The sequence below is a fragment of the Homo sapiens genome, chromosome 14 (genome assembly GCF_000001405.40).
Source record: "Homo sapiens chromosome 14, GRCh38.p14 Primary Assembly".
Classification (NCBI taxonomy): domain Eukaryota; kingdom Metazoa; phylum Chordata; class Mammalia; order Primates; family Hominidae; genus Homo; species Homo sapiens.
In genome coordinates this window covers 50,356,429-50,374,951 of record NC_000014.9, presented here as the reverse complement: position 1 = coordinate 50,374,951, position 18,523 = coordinate 50,356,429, and the positions used below count along the sequence as shown (strand labels likewise).

Here is an 18,523-nt window from a genome sequence, read left to right as displayed (position 1 = left end):
TTGCCCTCCAACCCCCAACAGGACCCAGTGTGTGATGTTCCCCTCCCTGTGTCCATATGTTCTCATTGTTCAAGTTGAGTATTTCTCCATGGATCCCTGGTTCCTTCTATTAGAGACTAGTATCAAAAAACGAGATCTAAGCACTTGGTATACATATTGCTACTAGGATGTGGTTGGTTCTAGGCCCTTTCAGCTGACAGAGCAAGGTAATATATGTGTGTATACCAACCTGTGTACATACATGTATCTAGAGTTATTTCTATATGTAATCATCTGTATCTTTATTAAGCTAAACAAGAGTTCATACTGATGTCTTCAACTATAATCTGTAGACAAATGAGATGGGATTAGCTCACAAATCTAATGGGTCATTCTAGCCTTGTCTCCTTGCTTATCTGGAAACCTGTATCAGCTTTTCCTCTACCCTCTTTGGTGAGGTTGTTTCATACATTTGTAATATAGTTAGATTCTTTTTGTCACAGTCTTTGTTCTATCCTAGGATTCCCCAACCTCCTACATGATTTTTTAACACTTTGCATATCTTAAGGTTCACACATTGTGTCGTAAAGTTCTATGCATTTTGCCCAATGCATAATATCACATATTCACTATTACAGTATCATATAGAATAGTTTCACTGCCCTAATAAATCCTGTGTGTTTCACCTACTCAACCCTCCCGACATCCTCTGAACCCCTGACACCTGTTATTGTTTTTACTGTCTCTGTAGCTTTACCTTTCCAGAATGTCATAGAATTGGAATAGTACAATATGTAGCCTTTTCAGACTGGCTTCTCTCACTTAACAATATGCATTTAAACTTTATACCTGTCTTTTATGGCTTGTTAGCTTATTTTATCGGTGGATGATATCACGTTATATGAATGTAGCACAATTTTTTCATCCTTTTTCCTATAGGAAGACAACTTGGTTGCTTCTAGTTTTTGGTGATTATGAATAAAGCTGTTAAAAACATTTGCTTGTAGGTTTTCATATGGACATAGTTTTCAACCATTTGGGTAAATACCTAGGAGTGTGATTACTGGCTCATATGGTATAGATATGTTTAGCTTTGTAAGAAACTGCCAAACTGTTTTCCAAAGTGGCTGTCTGATTTAGCACACCGACCAGCAGTGAATGAGAGGTTCTGTTGCTCAGTATCCTCACCAGCATTTGGTATTATCAGCTTTTTGGGGGATTTTAGCCATTCTAATAGGTGTGTAATGGTATCTCATTGTGGTTGTAATTTGGAATTTCCTAATGACAAAAGATGTTAATCATCTTTTCATATGTTTAAAATTTCCCATCTGTATTATATCTTCTTCAGTGAGGTATCTGCTCAGATCTTTTGCTCATTTTTTTGGTCCGTTTGGTTTTAATGTAATAAATATTGCCAGTAACTTTCCCAAAAAAGTTATAGCAGTTTGCACTCTAATTGGCCATGTGTGAGAACACCCCTTTCCCTATGCCCTTGTCAGCACTGGATGCTGCCAATCTTGCGTGTTTGCCTGCTGGTTAGGAAATAAATGGCATCACGTTGTTTCTCTAATTTGACTTTCTCTTACAACCAGTGAGACTGAGCATCTTTTCATATGTCCCTTTATCATTTATATTTCCTCTTCTATTACCTATTGATATATTTTGCCCATTTTCCCACTGGGTCGTCTTTTTCTTAACAATACATAAATAAGACTTCTTTGTAATATTAGGAATATAACCCTTTGTTGCAACTTTAACAAATATTTCCCAGGCAATTATTTGTCTTTTGGCGTTGTTTATAGTGTTTTTTTAACATAGTGAATTAATATTGTTAAAATGTCCATACTACCCAAAGCAATCTACAGGTTCAATGCAATCTTGATCAAAATTCCAATGTTATTTTCCATTGAAATAGAAAAAACTATGCTAATATTCATATGTAACCACAAAATGTCCCATATAGCTAAAGCTATCATGAGAAAAATGAACAAAGCTGGAGCCATCACACTACCTGATTTCAAACTATTTTATAAAAATATAGTAATTAGAACACAATGGTACTGGCAAAAAAAAAAATTAGACACATTGACCAGTGGAACACAATGGAGAGCCCAGAAATGAACCCACACCTGAATGGTCAATTGATCTTTGATAGAAGCATCAAGAATACACAGTGGGAAAAGCATAGTCTTTTCAATAAAAGATGTTGGGAAAACTGGATGTCCACATGCAGAACAATGAAACTGGACCCTTATCTCACACAATATACAAAAATCAACCCAATAGATTAAAGACTTAAACTGTAAAACTTCTAGAAGAAAACATAGGGGGAAAATTACACAGCATTGGTCTGGGCAGTGATTTTTTTAAATTTGACTCCAAAAGCATAGGCAACAAAAGCAAAAATGGACAATTTGGATTACATGAAACTAAAAAGTTTCTGCACAGTAAAGAAAACAACACTGTAAAGAAACAACCTATGGATTAGGAGAAACTATTTGCAAGCCCTACTCCTGATAAGGGGTTATATGTATCCAAAATATATAATGAACTCGGGCCGGGTGTGGTGGCTCACGCCTGTAATCCCAGTGCTTTGGGAGGCTGAGGCAGGCAGATCACCTGAGGTCAGGAGTTTGAGACCAGTCTGGCCAACATGGCAAAACTCTGTCTCTACTAAAAATACAGAAATTAGCCAGGTGTGGTGGTGCACGCCTGTAATCCCAAATATTCAGGAGGCTGAGGCACAAGAATTGTTTGAACCCAGCCAGGAGGCAAGGGTTGCAGTGAGCCGAGATCTCTCCACTGCACTCCAGCCTGAGCAACAGAGTGAGACTCCGTCTCAAAAACAAAACAAAACAAAACAAAACAAAAATACCCAAAACATATAATACACTCAAACAGCTCAAAAACTAGATGTTCCCCTTCCTTGGCCTCCCTTGGCCTCCCTTGGCCTCCCTCCTATGCTCAGTGGTGTCCAAAGTCCAGAGGGGTCCGAGGCAGCAGGGGGCTGGCGTGTCAGCATGTCCCTGAGCATGCGCACACCTGGCTGGGTCATGACAGTCCCTGGGCTTGGCCATAACTTTGCTCTGAAATCGGAGTGGGCACCAGGAGTGGGGAGAGGTCAGGCAGTAGGAGCAGGCATGGCACTTCTGAGCCTGCAGGGGTTGGGGGGCCTCCCAGGTCCCAAGTGTGCAGACATGCCCGGGTCTGCAGCCATGACTGGGTGTCTGCAGCTGCCTGGGAGGGTGGGGCTCCTGCCCCTCCAACCTGAGGCTCCCATCTGTTCCCAGCTCCTGCCAGCTCCAGGGAGCACACAGCCATGGCTGCGCCTCCCCCACTGCAGCCAGCATCATGGCAGCAGCTGCTCCAGATGGGCCACTGGTGCCATCACTGTCTCTAAAAAAGGGGGAAAAAATAAGCCTGGGATCTGAATGGACATCTCTCAAAAGAGGACATACAAATGGCCAACAGATATATGGAAAAATGCTCAACATTTCTAATCATTAGGAAAATGCAAATTTAAACCACAATGATATATCATCACACACCTGTCAGGATGGCTGTGATAAAAAAGATGTAAGATAAATGTTGGCGAGGATGTGGAGAAAAAGAAACCCTTAAAGTTGTTGATGGGAATGTAAATTATGGAAAAATATATGGAGATTCCTCACAAAACTAAAAATAGAATTACCATATGATCCAGCAATCCCACTTCTGAGTATTTACCCAAAAGTGAAATTTGAAATGTCTGCCCTCCTATGTTCATTGCAATACTGTTCACAATAGCCAAAGTCATAAAATTAACCTAAGTGGCCATCAGTGGATGAATATATAAAGAAAATGTAGTATATATACACAATACAGTACTATTCAGCCTTAAAAAAGGAGAAAATTCTGACATTTGTGACAACATGGATGAAATTGGGGAACATTATGCTGCTGAGTAAGCCAGGCACAGAAAGAAAAATGCACATGTTCTCACTTATATGTGGAATCTGAAACAAGTGAATTCATTGATATAGTTTGGATATTTGTCTCCACCCAAATCTCATGTTGAATTATAATCCCCAGTGCTGGAGATGGGGTCTGGTGGAAGGTGTTTAGATCATGGGGGCAGATCCCTCATTACTTGGTGTTGTCTTCGTGATAGTGAGTTCTCGTGAGATCTGGTCATTTAAACAGGTATGCCCCACTGCCAATTCCCTCTCTCTCCCTTGTTCTTGGTTTTGCCATGTGACATGCCTGCCCCTCCTTCACCTTTTGCCATGATTGTAAGCTTCCTGAGGCCTCCCTAGAAGCTAAGCAGATGCCAGCCCCGTGTTTCCTGTAAAGCCGGCAGAACCATGAGCTAATTAAACCTCTTTTCTCTATAAATTACCCAGTCTCAGGTATTTATAGCAATGTGAGAACAGCCTAATACATTCTTAGAAGCAGAGAGTAGAATGGTGGTTACAGAGGCTAGGGGATGAGGAGAATGGAGAGATGATGGTTGAAGGGTACAAAATCTTAGACAAGAGGAATAAGTTTCATTTCCAAGATCTGTTGCACAGCATGGTGAATACAGTTGTTAATTATGTATTGTACACTTCAAAATTGCTGAGAGAGGCTGAGTGCAGGGGCTCACGCCTGTAATCCTAGCACTGTGGGAAGCTGAGGCAGGTGGCTCACCTGAGGTCAGGAGCTTGAGGCCAACCTGGCCAACATAGTGAAATTTTGTCTTTACTAAAAATACAAAAACTAGCCAGGCATGGTGGCAGGCACCTGTAATCCCAGCTACTTGGGAGGCTGAGGCAGGAAAATCACTTGAACCCAGGAGGCAGAGGTTGGAGTGAGCCAAGATCGTGCCACTGCACTCCAGCCTGGGTGACAGAGCAAGACTCTGTCTCAAAGAAAAAAAAAAAAATTGCTAAAAGAGTAGATTTCAAATGTTCTTACCACAAAAAAAAAGGTAAGTATTTGAAGTGATGGATATATGTTAATTAGCTAGGTTTAATTATTCCATATTATAGTCATAAATCCTAACATTAATTTGAACCCCATAAACATATATAATTAGCCAGGCATGGTGGCTCACGCCTGTAATCCCAGCACTTTGGGAGGCTGGGGTGGGCGGATCACTTGAGGTCAGGAGTTTGAGACTAGCCTGGCCAACATGGTGAAACCCTGTCTCTACTAAAAATACAGAAATTAGTTGGGGGTGGTGGCTGGTGCCTGTAATCCCAGCTACTCAGGAGGCTGAGGCAGGAGAATTGCTTGAACCCAGGAGGCTGAGATTGCAGTGAGCTGAGATCGTGCCACTGCACTCCAGCCTGGGCAATAGAGCAACTATATATATATGTGTGTGTGTGTGTGTGTGTGTGTGTGCATGTGTGTATATATATTATATATAATATATGTATATATATAATTATAAATTGTATATTTACAATAAGTTTACAATTTACAATAAAGCTTTAAAAGAACAACAAAAAATTAAATATACCTCTATTGCTTGTACGTTTTTCTACTTTTGATAGAAACATGGACATATTAAATATTTCACTTTTAACTCTAGTATAAGAAAGTCAATAATGCAAGAGTGATGATAAAGAGCAACTCTCACTTGGCATCATGATCAGGGAGCAATAGGGAGTGGGTGACTGCGGTGACCTAAAGCATACAAGCCTTGTCTAAAGTGAACAGCTGCTCTCAGCCCTAGCTCATAAGTGCCACAGAGTCTACAGGCCTAGACCTGCTGATCCCCAGCATTTGCAAGAGACTCTTGGTAACCAGGATTTTAAAGTAACATTTCCTGGTTAAGGGTAGCGGCCGGGCGTGGTGGCTCACACCTATAATCTCAGCACTTTGGGAGGCCGAGGTGGGCAGATAACTTGAGGTCAAGAGTTTGAGATCAGCCTGGCCAACATGGTGAAACCCTGTCTCTACTAAAAATACAAAAATTAGCCAGGCATGGTGGTGCACACCTGTATTCCCAGCTGCTTGGGAGGCTGAGGCATGAGAATCGCTTGAGCCCTGGAGGTGGAGGTTGTGGTGAGCCGAGATTGTGCCACTGCACTCCAGCCTGGGTGACAGAGCGAGACTCCATCTAAAAAAAAAAAAAAAAAAAGGTTGGCAACTAGCACAAAATTCTTCAAAATCTCATGGGCTAAACAGGCCAAGCAATTGACCTTAGTAGATGGAGGGTCTGAGCTTATCAGAACAGATGGGTGCCCAATGAAGACAGAGGGCTGACGACACAGAGAGGCAGCTGCCCACGTAGGATACGTAGCATTCTCAGCTCTGCAGGGAAACCAGGTAGGGCTCTGGCTAAATTCAACCTCAGAAAAATGAAGTCCTTTTTTTAATGTCACAGAAAATACTTGACTTGGCAACATAATATGGAACATCAGTATTTGAAACACAGAGAGAAGGCTGGGTACAGTGGCTCACGCCCATAATCCCAGCAATTTGGGAGGCTAGGGTGAGAGGATCGCTTGAGCCCAGGAGTCTGAGATCAGCCTGGGCAACATAGTGAGACACTGTCTCTAAAAAAATTTTAAAAATAAAAAAACTAGCTTGTTATGATGGTGTGCACCTGTAGTCCCAGCTACTGAGGAGGCTGAGGGAAGAGGATCACTTGAGCCTGGAGTTTGAGGCTGCAGTGAGCCATGATCATGCCACTGCACTCCAGCCTGGGTAACAGAGAAAGACCCTGTCTCAAAAAATAAAAAATAGACTAGGCACAGTGTCTCACGCCTGTAATCCCAGCATTTTGGGAGGACGAGGTGGGCGGTTGGCTTGAGCCCAGGATTTCAAGATCGGACAGGGCAACGTAGCGAAACCCTGTCACTACACAAAATTTTAAAAATTAGCTGGGCATGGTTGTACACATTTGTAGTCCCAGCTACTTGAGAGGCTGAGGCAGGAGGATCACTTGTGCCTGGGAGTTCGTGGCTGCTGTGAGCTGTGATTGCACCACTGCATTCCCACCTGGGTGACAGAGTGAGACCCTGTTTCAAAAAAGTAATAATAATTTGAAAATGAAAATTTTAAAAAACACAAAGAGAAAATAAAAGGAAGACTAAAATAAAATAGCAGCAGCAAAAGTGGAAACTTTTGTACAAGAGAAAGTAAATCTGAGTCCGAGCAGGCCCGTGCTTCTAGATAGAGCATTAACTGAAGGACGGTGATACTGGCCTGGTAAGGAGCACCAAGAGCTTCAAGATTAGCCCAGCACAGACGCCCCAGACCTGAGGCTTTGGCTTCACAGACTTGTATATAGGAAGGAATTGTCATTAAATGAGCCCCAAACATCTTTGTGGTATATATGGTAATTTAACCTGTTCTGTCTATTAAGTTTACTTGTATGTACCGTGAACATGTTGGGTAAGCCTGTAACAGTTTGTCCATCATGTTGCTTAGTTCTTCTCATCTAATTCGTTTGTACGTCCCGAAAGAACTCCATTCAGCATTGAAGCAGAAACATCCAAACCCTTGTGAATGCAAACATTCACAATGTTGGGGCTATGATGGACACCTCCAGCTATTCGCTGCAGACTGGTTTGAGGATCAGAGGTGTCCCTTTGAGTTCTACCCCTGAGGTCAGTGGAGTCAATAGAGAGAGAGGAGTAAGGTAGTTTGAGATGTTAAGTCCACATAATCTGGCTTCTGGTCTCACCACTGCACCGATACCGTTTCCAATAAGGTCACTCGACCCCAACCCAGGGAAGCCCACCAGGCATCTCTCAGCCCTCTGTTTCCATCTGACCTTTCAGCAGCATCTGTCAACACTGACCACTTCCTCCTCCCATGATGCCCCCATGGCGCCTGCTCTGCTGTCTTCTCTCTCATCTTAAGGGGCTTTCTTCCCTTTCCCCTTTCGTGTTTCCTCCTCATCAACCACACATCTGGGTGGGAGGGTTCTTTAGACAGCTTTCTCATCTCACTCTCGCTCCTTCGGGGCAATCTCCTCTCTCTGTCTATGGCTTCGCTTACACACATGCGGACTCCCTGGCTTTTATCTTCAGCTCAGACTCTGGCTGACATAACAACTCCACTTTGGTGTCTCAGATCCCCACCAATTCAATGAGACAAAGCTAGTGACTTCTTTCTCCCAGTCTTACTCCCCCTCTCTGTGATGGCATCACCATCTGCCCCAGTGTGTAAACCTTTGTGTCATTTTTGACAGTTCCAGTGTGTAAACCTTTGTGTCATTTTTGACACTTCCTTCTCCCCTGTCCCTCACCTCCAGCCGATCACCACATCCGGACTATTCTGATAACAAAATACATCTCAAGACAATGCTTCTCACCGACTACCCTGCCTCTGCTCTGCTCCAAGTCACCACAATGTCAGCTATCAACAGCCACTTCATCCATTTTGCGTCCTCCAAGCCATTCTATATCCTGTTGCTGTAGTGAGCTTTTAAGAGCCCCATGGTATCATATCACGTCTTGCTGAAATCCTTCCAGTGGCTTCCCATTGCACTAGGATAGAGTGAATTGCTTAGCGTGGCCTGCAAGGCCCTGTAGGATCTGCCTTCTGACTGGCTGGCCTTGATTCCACGAGCTTCACCCACCAGCCACACTGTCTTTCAGTTGCTGAAGTGACCCAAGTTCTCTCCTGACTCAGGGCCAGTCACTGCCTGGAAAGCTGCCATCTTTGCCTTTACCACCACCCCTGCCCTTGGTTTGGTCAGACCTTTACCCTCTAGACTCGGCTCAAGGTCACTTCCTCAGGGCCAGTTTCTCTGAGACAGCCTAATTTCATAGATTATTTTTGGCACTTCTTTGTTTAATGCCTGAGTCCTCTGTCTCTTTCACCAATACCTGATGCAGAGTAGGTGCTTATATTAGTCAGGGTTCTCTAGAGGGACAGAACCAATAGGATAGATGTATATATGAAGGGGAGCTTATTAGGAGAATTGGCTCACATGATCACAAGATGAAGTCCCACAACAGGCCGTCTGCAAGCTGAGTCCCAAAACCTCAAAAGTAGGGAAGCCATCAGTGTAGCCTTCTGTCTGTGGCTGAAGGCCGGAGAGCCCGTGGCAAACCACTGTGTAAGTCCAAGAGTCCAAAAGCTGAAGAACTTGGAGTCTAATGTTCGAGGGCAGGAAGCATCCAGCACGGGAGAAAGATGAAGGCCGGAAGACTCAGCAAATCAAGTGCCTGCATTATTCTAGCTGTGCTGGCAGCTGATTAGATGGTGCCCGTCCAGATTGAGGGTGGGTCTGTCTCTCCTAGTCCTCTGACTCAAATGTTAATCTCCTTTGGCAACACCCTCACAGACACAGCCAGAAACAGTACTTTGCATCCTTCAATCCAATCAAGTTGGCACTCAGTATTAACTATCACAGGGCTCTAGGGATATTTGTTGAATATATGAACACAGCTAGACGGGGACTGGCTTCATAAGGGTGCTATGCCAGACCACATATCTGCTGCTCTGGAGTATTTTCGGGTCACCTGGAATCCTGGCAACCCAGTGAAAGTTAATAATTTATTTTAAAATATTGATAATTTAATATTTATAACCCCTCATTAGGATTTAGTATTAATGATCATCTTTCTATATTAAAATTATTCTAAAAACAGGTTGAGAGATAAGTTATCAGCTATTTGCAATTATTTGAAGATCATCTCATGGAGGAAGATGGGAGAGACAAGTTACACCTTCCTGTGTTGCCAGAGGCACTGTAAGCCCTCAAAGGAAGCAATTTGGCAATATATATCACAAGCCTTAAATTGTCTATAGGCTCCTTAAAGCTGGCCATAATATGGTAAAAATACTGTCATACTCCTGGCCAAGGGGTAAATATTCACAATCCTTTTGGAAAGCAATTTGACTCTATCTAGTTAGAGCCACATTTCTGGGGCTCTAGATGGTGCCCAGTTAACTTCAGGTCATTCTCAGTTAATGAATCATTAACTTAATGGCCACTTCCTCAAAGAGATTTTCCCTGAACCACACCTCACCCTCAAACCAGGTACACTTTACCTCATTTTTATAACATTTATCATAGCTATAATTACTTCTCCAACATCTGTCTCCTTTCCTAGGTTCTAAGCTCCAGGCCGGTAGGGGCAGTACTTGCTTTATTTGTCTCTATATCCTTAGGGCTAACACAGTGCCATATGCACCTTAAGATATATAAATAATTGTTGAATAAAATGAATAGAGAAAAATCATTCTAAATAAAAATAGATTTAACCCAAAGGTAACAATATCAATAATTAACCTTTACAGAGAGGTTAATATTTACCTGACCCTGTTGTATGTGCCTGTGTGTAATTGGCAGTACAGCCCTTGCGCTTCTTACTCTTACAGATGGAAAACTGAGGCCTACAGAACTTACCTAATTTGGTCCAAGTGAGGCAACCAGCTAATAAGTTGCTTATCAAAATCTTATTTATAATAGCAAAAAATTGGAAAGAACCTACATGTTATTTGAATATTTAATACATGCAGTTATCAGAACCTCAGTTTTGTTTCCTTTTTTAAAATAAATTTATTTATTTATTTAGAGACAGAGTTTTGCTCTGTTGCCCTGGCTGGAGTGCAGTGGCACAATCTGGGCTCACTGCAACCTCTGCCTCCTGGGTTCAAGTGATTCTCATGCCTCAGTCTCCCGAGTAGCTGGGATTACAGGTGCGTGCCGCCACGCCCAGCTAATTTTTGTAGTTTTAGTAGAGACAGAGTTTCACAATGTTGCCCAGGCTGGTCTTGAACTCCTAAACTCAGGCATCCGCCTGCCTTGGCCTCCCAAAGTGCTGGGATTACAGGCATGAGTCACCACGCCCAGCTAAGAACTTTGGTTTTCAAAAGATGTATAGTAACGTAGCAAGGTGGGTGCAATATAACAGTTACTGGTCCCATTCAGACAAATGGATATGGCTGTGACAGTGTCCTTTACTGGCACAGTGCTACTCCTTGCTTGGGTGCCCAGATCATAGCTCTTGCGGTACATACCAGCTGTGTCAGGGTGGAGCAGAGGAAGCTGAATAGAGAAAGTAACATCTGGAGGTGGGGCATGCTTTAGAGACAGGAAACTGAACACATCCTGAAATGAAAGGGAGTGTGAGCCTTCTAGGAAGTGAGAGAAATTCAGTGGGTCCAGAAGGAAGTTATAAGTGTTGGGGCTGGAGAGGTAAGCAGAGGCCAAATGGAGAGGACCTTTGGGCCTTGTCCTGGGGCAGCAGTGTCCTGCTGTGATCACTGCACGTTTGGACGTGGCAAGTGGGAGGCACCAGGCTTGGCATCCAGAGAAGGTCGGGGGATTTGTTTGGGTAGAATTGATGCATTTCTACTTTTGTTAGAAGAGCCAGCTGGAGACATGAGGACTAAATATGGAATGTGGAAAATGGAAAGAGAATTCTAAGATTCAAAGTCTTGGCCTCAATGTCACATCCTGTCAAGGGAGCAAATAGTGTGAAAATGAAAGTAAAGCCTAAGGATGATTATTTTTCAGTCTGAAAGAAAACTTCTGCTTTCTGCGAATTCTATCATAAAGTTAGTATTTAGCCCCTTTTAACCTGGTTGTTTACTCTCTGGTTGAGACATCTTAGTCAATCCAATTCAGAGGTTTAAGACAGTAGTCAGTTCTATCCTACTATGTTTGGAGAATGTTAGTTCAGGCTAAGGGTTTTCAGGTATGATAACAAATGTGGCATTTTATAGCTTGGAGTGCCCTCAGTTCTAAGATCCAAACGTGTCTGGAATTGGTGGGTTCTTGGTCTCACTGACTTCAAGAATGAAGCCACAGACTCTCGCGGTGAGTGTTACACTTCTTAAAGGCGGCGTGTCCGGAGTTTGTTCCTTCTGATGTTCGGATGTGTTGAGTTTCTTCCTTCTGGTGGGTTTGTGGTCTCCCTGGCTCAAGAGTGAAGCTGCAGACCTTCGCAGTGAGTGTTACAGCTCTTAAGGCAGTGTGTTTGGAGTTGTTCTTTCCTCCCAGTGGGTTCGTGGTCTCCCTGGCTTCAAGAGTGAAGCTGCAGCCCTTTGCCATAAGTGTTACAGCAGTGCGGACCCAAAGCGTGAGCAGCAGCAAGATTTATTGCAAAGAGTGAAAGAACAAAGCTTCCACAGTGTGAATGGTGCCCAGGGTAGGTTGCCACTGCTGGGTCGGGCAGCCTGCTTTTATTCTCTTATCTGGCCCTACCCACATCCTGCTGATTGGTCCATTTTACAGAGAGCCAATTGGTCTGTTTTACAGAGAGGTGATTGGTCCGTTTTGACAGGGTGCTGATTGGTGCATTTACAATCCCTGAGCTAGACACAAAAGTTCTCCACGTCCCCACTAGATTAGCCAGATACAGAGTGTGGACACAAATGTTCTCTAAGTCCTAACCAGAGTAGCTAGATACAGAGTGTCGATTGGTGCATTCACAAACCCTGAGCTAGACACAGGGTGCTGATTGGTGTATTTACAATCCCTTAGCTACACATAAAGGTTCTCCAAGTCCCCACCAGAGTAACTAGTTACAGAGTGCCAGTTGGTGCATTCACAAACCCTGAGCTAGACCCAGGGTGCTGATTGGTGTGTTTACAAACCTTGAACAAGATACAGAGTGCCGATTGGTGTATTTACAATCCCTTAGCTAGACATAAAGGTTCTCCAAGTCCCCACCAGACTCAGGAGCCCAGCTGGCCTCACCCAGTGGATCCCACACCAGGCCACAGGTGGAGCTGCCTGCCAGTCCCATGCCGTGCGCCCGCACTCCTCAGTCCTTGGGTGGTCGATGGGACCGGGTGCTGCGGAGCAGGGGGCGGTTCTGATCGTGGAGGCTCGGCCGCGCAGGAGCCCACGGTGGGGGTGGGGGGGTGGGGAGGGGAGGCTCAGGCATGGCAGGCTGCAGGTCCTGAGCCCTGCCCTGCAGGGAGGCACCTAAGGCCCGGCCAGAAGTCGAGCACAGCAGCTGCTGGCCCAGGTGCTAAGCCCCTCACTGCCCGGGGCTTGTGGGCCAGGGGGCCGCTAGAGTGCCGGGCCCCCCAAGCCCATGCCCACCCGGAACTCGCCGGTTCCCGCCTGCGCCTCTCCCTCCACACCTCCCTGCAAGCTGAGGGAGCCGGCTCCGGCCTTGGCCTGCCCAGAAAGGGGCTCCCACAGTGCAGCGGCGGGCTGAAGGGCTCCTCAAGTGCCGCCAAAGTGGGAGCCCAGATAGAGAAGGCGCCGAGAGCGAGCGAGGACTGCCAGGGCTGCCAGCATGCTGTCACCTCTCACAAAGGTGATTAATGGGCTGCTCTGTTTCAATGATGGTGGTGCGTCCTCCAAAATTCATGTTGAAACTTCACCCCCAGTGCAACTGTATTAAGAGGTGTGGCCGCTGGGAGGCAGAGCCCTCATGAATGGGATTAGCACCCGTATAAAGAGCTCAAGGTTGAGGGGGGTGCTCTCTTGCCCTTCTGCCTTTTGCCATGTGAGGACACAGCAACAAGGTGCCATTTTGGAAGCAGAGAGCATGCCTCCGCAGACACCAGTGCCAGCACCTTGATCTTGGATTTCCCAGCATGCGGAACTGTAAGAAAAAAAGTTCTGTTCTTTATAAATTACCCAGTCTCAGGTATTTTGTTATAGCAGCACAAATGGACTAATAAGACATGAGCTTTAGAAATATCTTGAATTTTTTATACTTGTTCATCAAGTATAATATCTGGAGCAGGAATTTCACATCTTGAAAATACAGAGGGATTTTACAGAGAAAATGAGGAAAGAAAAAAGAACTTTCTTCTTTAGTATCTCCTTGTGGGCTGCTTTTATTTTGTCACTGCCCATACAAATGTGCTGTAGCATGCAGTTCAAGAACTTCAATTTTCCTCCTTTTACCTTTTATCACTGATGGAGTAGCCTGCTTGTCTATGATTAATACCTCTGGATACACAGTGAATCACCTGGGGAATGTAGGTGAAACAAAACAAAACATATGCCTGGCTCATTCCTACAACCAAAAGAATTGAAAGTAGAGTCTCAAAAACATATTTGTACATTCATGCTCACAGCAGCATTATTCACGATAGCTAAAAGGTGGAAGCAAGCCATGTCCATAGATCAAAAGATGAATGGATAAACAAAATGTGGTATATTCATACAATGCGATATTATTCATGCTCAACCTTGCTACCACTTGGGTGAGCCTTGAGGACATAACGTTAAGTGAACTAAGCCAATCACACACACACACACACACACACACACACACACACACACAAACACACACACGTCTATCATTCCACCTGTAGGAGGTACCTAGTCAAAAATCTGAAAGTGGAGGCTGGGCGCGGTGGCTCATGGCCGGGTTCATGGCTCAAGCCTATAATTCCAGCACTTTGGGAGGAGAGGCAGGTGGATCACCTGAGGTCAGGAGTTCGAGACCAGCCTGACCAACATGGCGAAACCCTGTCTCTACTCAAAGTACAAAAATTAGCTGGGCATGGTGGTGTGCACCTGTAGTCTCAGCTATTCAGGAAGCTGAGGCAAGAGAATCACTTGAATCTGGGAGGTGGAGGTTGCAGTGAGCTGAGATCTCACCACTGCACTCCAGCCTGGGCAATAGAGTGAGACTCCGTCTCAAAAAATAAATAAAATAAATAAATAAAAAGTGGAATGGTATTTGGCAGGGACTGGGGGGAGGAAGGATTGGGGAGTTAATGGGCATAGACTTTCAGTTTTGCAAGTGAAAAGAGTTCTGGTGATAGGTGGTGGTGATGGTTGCACAATATGATTTCACTTAATAGCACTGAGCTGTACACTTAAAATGATTAAGATGATATATTTTGTGTTGTATGTATTTCACCACAGTTCTAAAAATCAGGGCGGAAAGTTAATGCGATAAAACAACATTTGATTGTAAAATTCTTATGGAAAATTATCTGGTGGCACTATCAAAGAATATTTGGAAAAAGAGGAGCGATCTGCCAAGTGTTAAATCGTACAACAGTAGGTAAAAGGGACTGTAATTGTGATCTGATAGTGAATGGGCACTGCAGAAGGGACTCCATGATTGATATGTTTTCCTGTGACTTTTTTTTGTCTTTCTTAGTGTAAGTCTCTTATTTTCTTCTGCAGAAAAAAAGAGACCAGTGCCTAGCTGTAGTGCTTCTGATAGCATTATGTCCAGAAAGGGCCAGGAAGCTAGGTACAAGATTTATCTCTGCCAAAGCTAACATTCAGTCCTGGGCTTTTTTTTTTTTTTTTTTTAATCTAGACACACATTTTCAGGCATATCAGATTGGAGAGTAAATAACGATGGAATGCCTGTTATGTACACGGCCTGGTGCTAGAAGTACAACAACACAATTTTGATAAACAAAAGAACACAGACCCTGATGCCGTCGTTCGTATATTCTATTGAATTTATCTATTGTAGCTATTGATACCAGAAGACTTCAAACAATTAACTGAACAATAATTACTAAGTAAGAATTACATATTATTTATTAATTACTCAGTAATTCTGAAAGAGTCATACTTCAGGGGGCCTTTTAGACATACAAGGCACTGAACCAGTGTGAGGAGATTAATGGAGACCCTAGGAAGGGACATTTGATCTGAATCTTGAAAGCTGAGTTTGTATTACCATCTCCCCTCTCTCTTCATTCTTTTTTATTTTCTGGCCTTCTTATACCTCTCTTTGCCCTCACCAACCACCTGTGTTATAATCATCTTTGACTTACAAGCTACTGACAAATAGCTTGTTAAGAGGGGTAAGATGATACTGTTTACAGCCTCCTTCAATCTAAGAATGAAATTCTTAAAGGACAAACAACTTACTTTTTATTGGATCAAGATTAGAGAAAGCTGTCTTTCACAAGTCAAATTTAGTAACTTGTTTTTTTGTGTTTTCAGCAACTCAAGCATCCCAACCTTGTTAACCTCCTGGAAGTCTTCAGGAGGAAACGGAGGCTTCACCTGGTGTTTGAATATTGTGACCACACAGTTCTCCATGAGTTGGACAGATACCAAAGAGGGTGAGTGATCCATCCCTTACAAGCAAAACAAAGACACACTGGGATTTGTGAGCGAAAAGTGGCAATGACTCTTTTTAAGACTAGGTAAGGCCGGGTGCAGTGGCTCATGCCAGTAATCCCAGCACTTTGGGAGGCCTAGACGGGTGGATCATCTGAGGTCAGGACTTCAAGACCAGCCTGGCCAACATAGTGAAACCCCATCTCTACTAAAAATACAAAAATTAGCTGGGCGTGGTGGCGGGTGCCTGTAATCTCAGCCAGTCGGGAGGCTGAGGCAGGAGAATCGCTTGAACTTGGGAGGCGGAGGTTGCAGTGAGCCAAGATTGCACCATTGCACTCCAGCCTGGGCAACAGGGTGAGACTCTGTCTCAAAAAAAAAAAAAAAAAAAAAGACTAGTTAAAAACAGCCAGTGTTTGTACAACATACTCTGCTGCCAAGGTGGACAGCAGAAAGATTACAAAAAATGTTACAAAAGGATAAAAAAAATAGTCACTTTAATGAAGAAACCAGCAGAAGCATCATTAGATTGAACTTGATTTCTTTGGTACTTTATCTCTGCATAGAAGTGATCTCAGTCTCTAAGAAAAGGAAGGATATTAGTTAGTCTATGCCTGACCAGGGAGGTAGAAGGGCTTGGAGATTGAAAGGAAGATTCCAAAGGCAATGGCTACTAGGAAGTTTGAGACTAAAACAAACATGGTATTTCACTGGAAGCAATCCGGGTGTCTACTCTGCTGTATTACTCAGGATTTCTTTGGTTTCAAGTGACAAAAACCCAACTGAAGCAAGCATAGGTGAAAAACAATTGTGTTGTGGCTGTAACTGAGAAGGGTGGGAGTGACTCCGGGGGCTCCGCTGATCTTACCACACAGCTCTCTCTAGCATATGCAACATCTTTGTGTGCACTGGAAGAAGACTTGGTGAGCACACAGAGGCCTTGTCCAAGAAAAAGAAAAAAGGAGGAGGGGGTCCCTTCCTGAAGTTGAGGGCAGCCTCTTGCAGGGTGAGAGGACTGGATTCCAGCTCCCACCCACTCCTCAGCTGGGTGTTTTCAGGCAGGGCAACGTAGGTAGTGGCTGTTCTTTCTCACTCTCTCCCAGCCCTAATTCTTCTTCATTGTGCCTTGCAAATAAGCTTCCCTTATATGGTGGATTTGGGAGGGCATGTGGGTGGCATGGGCTGGAAGTTTGGAAGGGAAAAGTACAAAATAGAAAGCATGGCCACAGGCTTATATCAATCTATATAGCTGTTCTAGAAGAAAGGAATTCTAGAAGAAGGTAGCATCTGCACATTAAGTCTAGTGGAACTCCGATTGGCTCAGCTCAGGTGACGCAACTATCCCTGGGGCCTATTACTGTTGCTAGAGAAAGAGGACGGAATGATTAGCAGGTCCTGGGAGATATTATTCAAAGAGAGCTTCATGGTGAAGGTGGCCTTGGAGTTGAAAGGGGAGGAGACTTTAGATAAGTTGACCAGGGATGAAAAATATCCCATCCTTTCCTTTTTTGGCTGTGTTCTCGGGAGCCCAACTTTGGCTGGGGACAATATGAAGAGTGGATTATAGATTAGAGCCACAGAATGGTGTCCCATCCCATGGACTGTGAATGGCTCCCATTCACACTTCAGTGGCTGGAGGCTGAGGCTCCTCCAACAACTCTTTCAAGTCTTTGCCAGGGGCTTGCTCTGCCACGTGGTGATGGTTATATATGATCTGCCGTGACCTCCAGGCAAATGGAATGGAAGCGGCTTGTGGTTTGTTAGTGACCACAGCACAGACTTTTCATATTTCAGAATGTTAATTTACATAGCCAGAGAGAGCCAAGAGGACAGACACCTCCCTTCAGAAAGTCATCGATACAGAGAAATTATGTTTTCAAAGGAGAAAACATTTCGTATGTTGATATTTGATCTTTTGACAGCTTGCAAGTGACACTTCAATTAAACTTGTTAATATAAGTTACTCATGGCTATGTGGTACCAGAGGGATGTTACAGGGAATTTGATTAATCATGTTGAGTGGCTTGGGAACACTGATTTGTGGGAGTCAAAAGCAATGAAAGTCAGCTCTTTTTTTGGCATATAGTTTGAACAGAATAAAAAGGGTGATTACAGTTTGAAAGCAGATTTTTAAAAACTCCACTGGCCAAAATATGTTATATATGTTCCAGGAAACAGAAAATGCTTTAATATGGGAGTTGCAGAAAACAGAAAGACCTGTAGATAAATGTGTGATTAATTACAAGCAACCTCATTTCCAAATGGTAAAATGCTATGATTTGCCAAATATAAGATTTATTAAGGAAATCTTAAGGAAATCAAATATAAGATTTACTTAAGGAAATCAGCCCCCGACAGGCCTCAGTATGTGTTGTTCCCCTTCCTGTGTCCATGTGTTCTCATTGTTCAGCTCCCACTTATAAGTGAGAACATGTGGTGTTTGGTTTTCTGTTCCTGCGTTAGATTGCTGAGGATAACAGCTTCCAGCTCCATCCTGTCCCTGCAAAGGACATGATCTCATTCATTTTTATGGCTGCATAGTATTCCATGGTGTGTATATACCACATTTTCTTTTTCCAGTCTATCATCGTATGAAAACTT

At 43.8% G+C, this 18,523-nt stretch overlaps 1 protein-coding gene across 15 annotated transcripts in view, besides 5 other annotated features; it reads left to right on the top strand.

Moving 5' to 3' along the window:
• The window catches only part of CDKL1 (cyclin dependent kinase like 1), a 71,034-nt gene that overhangs the window by 22,347 nt on the left and 30,164 nt on the right, over positions 1-18,523 (top strand). For 11 of the 15 annotated variants that reach the window (NM_001367064.3, NM_001423763.1, NM_001423764.1 and 8 more), the window contains one exon: positions 15,803-15,924. In NM_001367064.3, the coding sequence (NP_001353993.2) occupies positions 15,803-15,924 (122 nt within the window). Of the gene's footprint in view, positions 1-10,997; positions 11,732-15,802; positions 15,925-18,523 lie in introns of those variants that run through there. The other 4 variants (NM_001423769.1, NM_001423765.1, NM_001423768.1 and 1 more) reach the window with 2 other exon arrangements.
• Positions 2,648-3,147: an enhancer, noted in NCBI's record as "H3K4me1 hESC enhancer chr14:50838523-50839022 (GRCh37/hg19 assembly coordinates)". NCBI's record gives its function as "activates a minimal SCP1, AML or CMV promoter by ChIP-STARR-seq in primed H9 embryonic stem cells {active_cell/tissue: H9 hESC(primed)}" and the evidence as "EXISTENCE:reporter gene assay evidence [ECO:0000049][PMID:30033119]".
• Positions 3,148-3,649: an enhancer, noted in NCBI's record as "H3K4me1 hESC enhancer chr14:50838021-50838522 (GRCh37/hg19 assembly coordinates)". NCBI's record gives its function as "activates a minimal SCP1, AML or CMV promoter by ChIP-STARR-seq in primed H9 embryonic stem cells {active_cell/tissue: H9 hESC(primed)}" and the evidence as "EXISTENCE:reporter gene assay evidence [ECO:0000049][PMID:30033119]".
• Positions 8,963-9,128: a silencer, noted in NCBI's record as "fragment chr14:50832542-50832707 (GRCh37/hg19 assembly coordinates)". NCBI's record gives its function as "represses an EF-1alpha promoter that drives an FKBP-Casp9 reporter gene in an ReSE screen in phorbol 12-myristate 13-acetate-treated (for megakaryocytic differentiation) K562 erythroleukemia cells {active_cell/tissue: K562(+PMA)}" and the evidence as "EXISTENCE:reporter gene assay evidence [ECO:0000049][PMID:32094911]".
• Positions 11,443-11,492: an enhancer, noted in NCBI's record as "active region_8357". NCBI's record gives its function as "activates an Ori minimal core promoter by ATAC-STARR-seq in GM12878 lymphoblastoid cells {active_cell/tissue: GM12878}" and the evidence as "EXISTENCE:reporter gene assay evidence [ECO:0000049][PMID:35858748]".
• Positions 11,633-12,042: an enhancer, noted in NCBI's record as "active region_8356". NCBI's record gives its function as "activates an Ori minimal core promoter by ATAC-STARR-seq in GM12878 lymphoblastoid cells {active_cell/tissue: GM12878}" and the evidence as "EXISTENCE:reporter gene assay evidence [ECO:0000049][PMID:35858748]".